The sequence below is a fragment of the Homo sapiens genome, chromosome 1, assembly GCF_000001405.40.
Source record: "Homo sapiens chromosome 1, GRCh38.p14 Primary Assembly".
NCBI lineage: Eukaryota > Metazoa > Chordata > Mammalia > Primates > Hominidae > Homo > Homo sapiens.
The window spans coordinates 153,479,662-153,488,709 of NC_000001.11; the positions used below are offsets into that span (position 1 = coordinate 153,479,662).

Below are 9,048 nucleotides of genomic sequence, written 5' to 3' on the forward strand. Positions count from 1 at the left end.
CATCATCTGTAAATCAGGAAAAGTAATAGTATCTTCCCATCATGTTGTGCAGATTAAGCGAGTTAATATCATAATGTGTTTTGGAACAATGTCAAATGTGTGTATGTGCCTAGTTAATTGTCAGCTTCTTCCCTGAAAACATAACACCACATGGGCAGGAATTTCTACCTGTTTTGTCATTGCTCTATCCTCAATCTCTGGAATGGTTCCTGGAACATAGTAAGTTTTAAATAAAATACTACTTAATGAATAGATCTCCTCTCTAAGCAAATCTTTATTCAGACAGAGAAGACAAGGGTATCCCAGTCTAACTGGAGAGGACTTCTGCAGCATCTGTAAGGATGCAATCATTTGTTCATTTACCCAACAAATATTTACTAAGCACCTATTATGTGGCAAGCACAGTTCTAGACCCCTCCTGATACATTTATGTGAGTGATTTTTAGGTTGGCTAGTGTGATCTGAAGCTCCCCACTCCCCACTCCCTCCTCCTGCACTTCTTGTATATCCTCTAGCTCCAGCCCAGTTCCCAGCCCCAGCCCTGCCACTCCAAACCTAGTCCCACCCCACTCCTCTCCTGTCTCCTAAGTTTTTCCCAGACCCATGGGTCCCTCCAGAATTGATTTTAATCAAGTCATATATGTACATAATTTTAAAGTCAAACAGTTCTCCAAGGTTAATCAGTGCTCCCCAATTGAGTCCTCCCCACCCTCAAGTCCCCACCCCTGAGGCAACCACTTTCCTCCCCTTTATGCATTTCTTCCTGTATTTACCTCTGTATTTCTAAATAATCGATTTGTATTGCTATTTGATTTTTTTTCTGTTTTTTATACTAGTTGTTAATGACATCCTACAATGACATCCTACAATGGAAAACAAAAATTTGGTTCTTTGGCAATACATATACACACAAATATGCACATACTTCCCCTCCCTGCAAAATTCCTCCAGTATAGTTACATGATTGTTTTTGGTTAGAACAGAATTAGGGTACAGAGTATTATGATCATGTAAGTACTATTCACAGATTAACAATGCAGTCTGCTTTGAGTGTATTTTCTTTCTTGTGCAACTTTTAAATTTTCTAAGAAGTTAATAATTGATCTTTTTTTCATTTGTTTAGTTTTCTCTTTTCCTGTCATTAACCCTCCCCAAACTCCCCACTACATAGTAAATTTCCTTTCAATTCAGTTAAACACGTTAGATGATCTATAACCTTTTTGTTACTTGGAGATGTCTCTCCTGGAGTTCCCCACAATTCTACTCCAATTTGGACTGATTTATCTCTAGATCGGCCCCAGGACCATCTTCTTGGCTCTAAACTGCTCCCTCATCCTAGGATTTCCTTTTGCCTTTCTCCCATGTGGCATCACCTACTGCCTGGACCTTATGCCTTCCTCTTTCTTGGCTTAATCCCCTGTTTTGGAAGAGCACATTCTCCAATAACTTCCTGAGAAAGCATTCTTAGGAAGTAACGTTAAGACCTTGCATGTCTGGAAATATTTTTGCTGCTCTTATAATTGACAATTTGTCTGGGTATAGAAACCTAGACTGTAAATGGACATAGAAATCTAGATTACAAATTACCTTCCTTCAGAAGTTTAGAGACATCACATGATTTTCTTCTAGTTTCTGGAACTGTATTCTGTTTCATCCAGCTGGAAAGAATCTGTTTTTTGTCAGGGTGTTCTAAAATTTCATAATTACATGCCTTGCTAAGAATCTTTTTTTTTTATCCATTGTGCTAGGCAATAAGGGATTCTTTTACATGAAAACGTAGTTTTCTTTTACCATGCCTTTGATAATTTCTTTGTCTCCATTGTCTTGGTTCACTCTTCACTCCTGGACTTGATTCTCTAACATTCATTTCTTTTCTGTCCTATTTTCCATATTTTTTTTTTAGGCGGAGTCTCCCTCTGTCACTGAGGCTGGAGAGCAGTGACACAATCTCGGCTCACTGCAAACTCTGCCTCCAGGTTTAAATGATTCTCCTGCCTCAGCCTCCCAAGTAGCTGGGATTACAGGTATGTGCCACCACACCCAGCTAATTTTTATATTTTTAGTAGAGATGGGGTTTCACCATGCTGGTCAGGCTGGTCTCAAACTTCTGATTTCAAGTGATTCGACCTCCTCAGCCTCCCAAAGTGCTGGGATTACAGGCTTGAGCCACTATGCCCAGCCTCCATATTTTTTTAATTCTTTCTGTTCAACTTTATCTTTTAACACTTACATTGAATGTTTATTTCTGCCAACAACGGGGGGAAACACAGAAGCAAATCTATTTTATAATTTCAAAGATCTTTTTCTTTTCTAAAAATTCCTTTTAAAATTTCTTCCTGGCCAGGCACAGTGGCTCACACCTGTAATCCCAGCACTTTGGGAGGCCAAGGTGGGCAGATCACCTGAGGTCAGGAGTTCGAGACCAGCCTGGCCAACATGGTGAAACCCCGTTTCTACTAAAAACACAAAAATTAGCTGGACGTGGTGGTGGGTGTCTGTAATCCCAGCTACTCAGGAGGCTAAGGCAGGAGAATCGCTTAAACCCAGGAGGCGGAGGTTGCAGTGAACCGAGATCGCACCATTGCACTCCAGCTGGGCAACAAGAGTGAAACTCCGTCTCAAAAAAAAAAAAGTCTTCCTGTTTCATAGATTCAATATATTCTCTTAGTTCTCTGAAGATATTGATCTTTTACATTTTTTTCTATTACCTTCATTGACTCAATTTTTTCCAAGTTCCTTTTATCTATTTATGGTCGGGGGAGTTCTTTGTCTCTCCTATATAAGGTCTTCCTTAAATATCTGGTGATTCTTGGCTTATCTGCTCCATTTTTAAATGTTTCTTTTTTTAATTATAGAGATGGGGTCTCACTATGTTGCCCAGGCTGGAATGCAATGGCTATTCCTCCCACCTCAGACTCCTGAGTAGCTGAGTGGCACATGCCACTGCACACAGCCTATCTGTTCCTTTTAAGAATGAGGCATTAAAAATTATCAAGAAGCTCTGTCTAAAAGGACAAGATTTGTCTACCCGTGATCTTCATTCCAGTGTAATCTGGCTGAGTTGTTTCATGGAGGCCTTACTGAGATGGTCAATTTTCCCAGAAAGGAATCTTCCAATCTCCTATTGGAGATGTAATAAACCTGGCTGGTAATGTTCTTGAAGGTGAGTGGAAGAAGGGCTAAGATCCTTTCACAATTCAGTATGTAGACTTTTACCTAATTCCCTTGTTTAAGTGTAGCATCTCTGCTCCTGGCTCCTTTTGGGGACCTCATTTACAGTCAGCTCGGGTCACAAAATAAGAGTCACCTGTCTGCAGGGTGGGAAAGGAGACATGGAGTCCACCTGCTTTTTATACAGACTTTCCAACAGTCTTCTCTTCATCCACACAGACACAACAAACTCCCATGGCAGTTCAGTGTGGGGTCCAGCACCAAAGTCAGATTTCCAGGTTCAAATCCTGCTTTACCATTCATGAGATGTTTGACCCTTAAACAAATTATGTCACCTCTCTAAGCCTTTCCCCATTTGAAAAAAATTAAAATTAAAATAGTATGTAGGCCAGGCGTGGTGGCTTATGCATGTAATCCCAGCACTCTGGGAGGCCAAGGCATGCGAATCACTTGAAGCCAGGAGTTCAAGACCAGCCTGGCCAACATGGTGAAACCCCATCTCTACAAAAAAAAAAATACAAAAATTAGCTGGGTGTGGTGGCAGGTGCCTGTAATCCCAGCTACTCGGGAGGCTGAGGTGGGAGGATCACTTGAACCTGGGAGGCAGAGGCTGCAGTGAGCCAAGCTCGTGCCACTGCACTCCAGCCTGGGTGACAGAGCAAGACTCCATCTCAAAAAAAAAAAAATAGTATCTAATGTGGCATTGTTTTGGAGATTAAATAGCATAATGAATGTGAAGTGTCTAGAATAGTGGCTGGTACATAGTAAACTTTCAATAAATATTAGATCATATTATTATTTGTACTACTCCTCTTTCCCAGCCTCCTAAATGTACTCCCTTATCCTCTCTTCCCCTTTCCAATCCCAGTATACATTCTTCCCTCAGAATGACCTTTTTAAAACATTAATCTAATCAATCAAGTCCATCTTTTTGCTTGGGACTAAGGGGTTTCCCAGACACAGGACTTTCAGTGCTAAAACCTTCAGGTCAAACATTCCAAGCAAACCAGGACTAGCTGGTCATCCTGCCACTCCCCTACGTAAAAAAGCAGGTGAGGCTTCCCCTTTCTGTCTGAGTAAAGTACAAATCCCCTGCCACTCAAAGCCCGGGGCATCTGGCCCCTGCCTGCCGGGCTCCAGCCTCTCCTCCCTGCCCACTGCTGCACCTGCTCTGGCTGGTTCTGGCTCCGCCCTCACAGCCCCATGCTGTTCCACACACCCGTTTGCCTTCCCTTCTCCCCAGCTAACTTGTGCTTTAGGTATCTGGCAGGAAGACCTTTTCTGAACCCCCAGATACGGCCATGGGCCCTGCAATAAGGACTCCTCAGGAGAACCAAATGGAAGGGGTGTCTGTAAAAGAGTCTCTCCTGCTTCTTCACAGCTGCATACCTGGCAGCCAGCACAAGGCCTGCCCCACAGGAAGATCCAAGTGGCTTTCTGCTGAATGAATTAAGTCATTAAAATGTGAACAGCCCTTTATTATCTGGTGGCACTTGGTGGTGATCAGTTGGCACCCTGCTGGGAGCAAGGCGCTAGAAAAGATACACCAGATTTAGAAATAATTTTCGAAGGGGGCTGCCTTGCCTCTTCCTCAGCTCTGCTATACCTATACGGAAGGAAGACTCCAGGGGAACCACCACCAGACCTAGGCATTTCTTAAAACCCTCCTCACTCTGGGAATTAGGAACCTTGCCCTCCACGCCCCCGCTGTCAGCCCAGGGACTTAGCTACACCTGCCTTGCCATAGCCACAGCCCTAATTGGGATGGGTTCCAGTGAAGGGTTAGCACATGGACGCTGGCACCAACACAAAGCAAATTTTGTGATCTTACTGCTTAAATTCACCTTGGAGCAATCTGCCACTGTGCAGCTCCGTCTCAGCCTCTCTCCCCTCTGCATTCCTTCTCCCACTCAGGCCTTGCTCAAGCCATCTCCATCTTGTTGATCCCCCCTCTCCCCATCCCAAACTCTGCCCCCTTGGGGAGCTCTTCCCCTGACTCAACTCCCACACCACTCCCATCTCAGAGAGCTGCTGCCTCGAGCAACACCCTAGATCTGCTGGCCAGGTTGTTTCCATGGGGTTCCATTCAAAGAGATTCTATTCAAAGGGGTTGCATCTTGCCCTGCATGGAGTGTCTGGTGAAAGAGATTTCAACAGCTATATCTGAATTTCTAAAGGGTTAAATCAGAAGTGGGGAGCAGGAGGTAAGGAAAAGAGAAAATAAATTTTAAAAAGAATTAAACCATCTCTTAGAAAATGGGGGTACTCGGTGACAATCTCTTAACTTGTGACTCCCCAGCCGGCAACGACATCACTCTGACCTTTACTTCTGCCATCACACTCCCATATCTGACTCTCCCTGCTCCCTCTTTCCCTGTCGGGGACCTCTGTAGCTATCTTAGGTCCATCCCAAAAATCCAGGGTGATCTTTCCATCTCAAAATCCTTAACTTCCTTTTCAGCAGAGACTGTGTTTTCCTAACTGAGACTAGATGCCCTCTGAGGGCCAGAGCTTTCTCCCCTCACCTGGGTGGTCCTTAGAAGAAGAACTGTGTCCCTGCTCAGCTGGCAGCTTATTCAAGGCCGAGCCTCAGTCTCCCTGTGAAGGCTGGGGGCCCCATGAGGGCCTCCCCACCTCTTTCCAGCCCAGGGGGTCTTGAGCGTGCAGAGGGAAGGAGACCATGGTGTACCTCCATCCTAGCCCCTCAGGGATTGAAGGTTGGAAAGCAGGGCACAGCTTTAAAATGCTGCCAAGCTGGAAATTAAAAGGGGTTCCACTTGGCTTCTGATGTGGGGTTGGACCTGAGTTCCAACTCCCAAGGCTCTGGTGGAACCAACAGCAGCCGTGGCCTCAGTGAGATCTGCTGTGGGTCCAGAGCTATCATGCCTGCCACAGCAAGCCTCCTCCAAGGCCATCCTTCTGGTTTCCTCTGCAGTGGCTCTCAAGGAAGCACAAGGGAGAAAATAGGAATTATTATATGTTTAGGGCTTCCTGCTTGCTGGCCTTGCATCACTGCCTCACATTACCCAAATATTTACAGGCTACTTCTGGATATTCTGAAATGGTCTGGAAAGGAAGAGGTAAGCCAGCTCCCCATTTTCCAAGCCAAGGTCTAACAAACCCTGTCCACTAAGTGCAGCTCCCTCCAGGACTGTCTCTGGCAACCGCCCAAGACCTAATGTGGATGTGATCATCCAATCAACAATTACTGGTGAGCTACTCAGTGCCACGTCTAATCCAATTAACATACTGGGACTCTCCCCTCCACCACCCTGCCACCTCACCTCATCAACTTGGCTTAGATTTGTGTGTAGTCACAGTCAAAGGATTCACAAATCTGACTACAGAGGTAGCTATAGGTTTTTTTAAAGGACTCAACCACAGGATTTAACCAAAGCACTGTACAGAAATCTTCCCAGAAATTTTCACCAGAGACATTTCCTCTCCCTAAACCCCCTGCCTCAACGCAAAAATCTCTCCAGCTCTCTCATCCAGTTCCCTTTCCAGTTCTCTCACTGCTACATCATTCTCCCTGTCCTCTTTGTCTTTCCTCGCATTGCCATTCCTAGCCAAAAGTAGCCACTCAGACATCCGTTCCTCCAGCCATTGCCTTGCCACCTCAGAGAGCAGAGGCACTTAGCAGCTCCATGATCTGCCTCCTTCAAACTCAGCAGACGCAAGCGCGGCACCTGCAATGTTTAGGTCTACACAAGTCAGTTGTAGTCCTGTATACTAGCAACAGTTAGTAAAAAAAGTTAACAATGCCATTTGTTATAGAACAAACCATTGAAATATCTAGAAATCAACCCAGCAAGATACACCAGTTTTGAAATGTATCTGGAAGAGCCTAGATAATTTTGAAGTTGAACGAGATGGTGGATGTGGCCTACCAGAGAGAAGACTTATGTAAAGCAGTGATCGCCAAGACATGAAAGTGAAGGCATAGAGATAGAAAAGCAGAACAAAGCAGACATCCTAGAATTAGGCCCGTACATAAATGGAAACGTGATCTGTGAGACAGGTGGGCATTGCATGAGACACTGAGGCACGGGGTGGGGAGATTGCAAATCAGTGGGAAATGACAGCCGAGTCAGTAAGTGACACTGGGATAATTAAGTATCCATATACATAAAAAACAGATTTAGATTTCATTCTGCATCACATAATATGCAAAAAAAAAAAAGAGTTAAAAACTTAATTAAAAAAAAAAATTTAGGCCGGGCATGGTGGCTCATGCCTGTAATCCCAGCACTTTGGGAGGCCAAGGCAGGCAGATCACATGAGGTCAGGAGTTCAAGAGCAGACTGGCCAACATGATGAAACCCCCTCTCTACTAAAAATACAAAAATTAGCCTGGTGTAGTGGCGCATGCCTTTAATCCCAGCTACTCAGGAGGCTGAGATGGGAGAATAGCTTGAAACCCGGCAGGCGGATGTTGCAGTGAACCGAGAGCACACCATTGCACACCAGCCTGGGTGACAAGAGCGAAACTCCATCTCAAAAAAAAAGAAAAAAAAAACTTAAAAATGGGCCAGGCATCCTAGCATTTTGAGAAGCTGAGCCAGGAGGATCGCTTAAGCCCAGGAGTTTGAAACCAGCCTGGGCAACATAGTGAGACTCCATCTCTACAAAAAAAAATAAATATATTTAGCCAGGTGTGGTGGTGTGCACCTGTGGTCCCAGTTACTTGGGAAGCTGAGGTGGGAGGATCACCTGAGCCCAGGAGTTTGAAGCTATGGTGAGCCATGATCCTGCCACTGCACTCCAGCCTGGGCAGCAGAGTGGGACCCTGTTTCTGTTTCTTTTTCTCTTTTTTTTTTTTTTGCAGTGGTGGGATCTCAGCTCACTGCAACCTCTGCCTACCAGGCTCAAGCAATCCTCCCACCATTATCCAAGAACTCATCGCCAAATCTAACATTGTTAAGCTTTTCCCCTGTTTTTAAAGAGTTTTATAGTTTTCGCTCTTACATTTAGGTCTTTGGTGATGGTTTCTATCTTAAGCTGGTGGGTAATCAAGCATTCCTTATGTTATTTGTTACATTGCAGGGGATGTGGGGGAGTGTGGGTTCTCTTTTGCTGTGCCTGCTTTTCTTACATTGCATGAAACACAAGTCCAGTCAAGTTCTCTCTGCCATGGTCACTAGTATTACTGCCTAGAAGATCATCTTATGTATATCTTACTGAGGCCATTGTCTTCTTCTCTGTCTCTGAAATGGAGCAAGAAGCAAGTAAATCTCATCTAGAGAATGGGAGTCTTACCAGAGGCTGGGAAGGGAAGAGGGAGAGGGGAATAAAAAGAAATTGAATGGGAATTCAATTGCTGGGAAGGGGAGAAGGAGAGGGGAATGAAAAGAAATATATAAAGGGTTATATAGAAGGAATACAGAATACAGTTATATAGAAGGAATAAGTTCTAGTATTTGATAAGTTCTAGATACTAAGTTCTAGTATTTGATAGTACTAGATAATACAATAGGGAAATTACATTAACAATAATTTATTGTAAATGTGAAAATAGCTAGAAAAGAAGAATTGTACTGTTTCTAACACAAAAGATAAGTATTTGAGGTTATGAATATTCCAATTACCCTGATTGGATCATTACACACTATATACCTGTATCAAAACATTACATGTACCCCAAAAATATGTACAACTAGGATATATCAATCTTTTTTAATTCTTTGGTGAGCTGGTAGTGTTAGACAGCAATCTTTAATGACCAGTACTGCTCCTTGCGGAGCAGGACTAACTCATAGGCAGCATGCCCAGAGTCAGCCATGATATATCCATTTTTTTAATACAAAAAAAAAAAAGGGTCTTTGCCCTTATCCAACTGCTAACCACCCAGGACACCAAAAGCTCTGAGCTAATGAC

At 43.9% G+C, this 9,048-nt stretch overlaps 1 annotated feature.

Moving 5' to 3' along the window:
* Positions 4,394-4,988: an enhancer, noted in NCBI's record as "H3K4me1 hESC enhancer chr1:153456531-153457125 (GRCh37/hg19 assembly coordinates)". NCBI's record gives its function as "activates a minimal SCP1, AML or CMV promoter by ChIP-STARR-seq in naive H9 embryonic stem cells {active_cell/tissue: H9 hESC(naive)}" and the evidence as "EXISTENCE:reporter gene assay evidence [ECO:0000049][PMID:30033119]".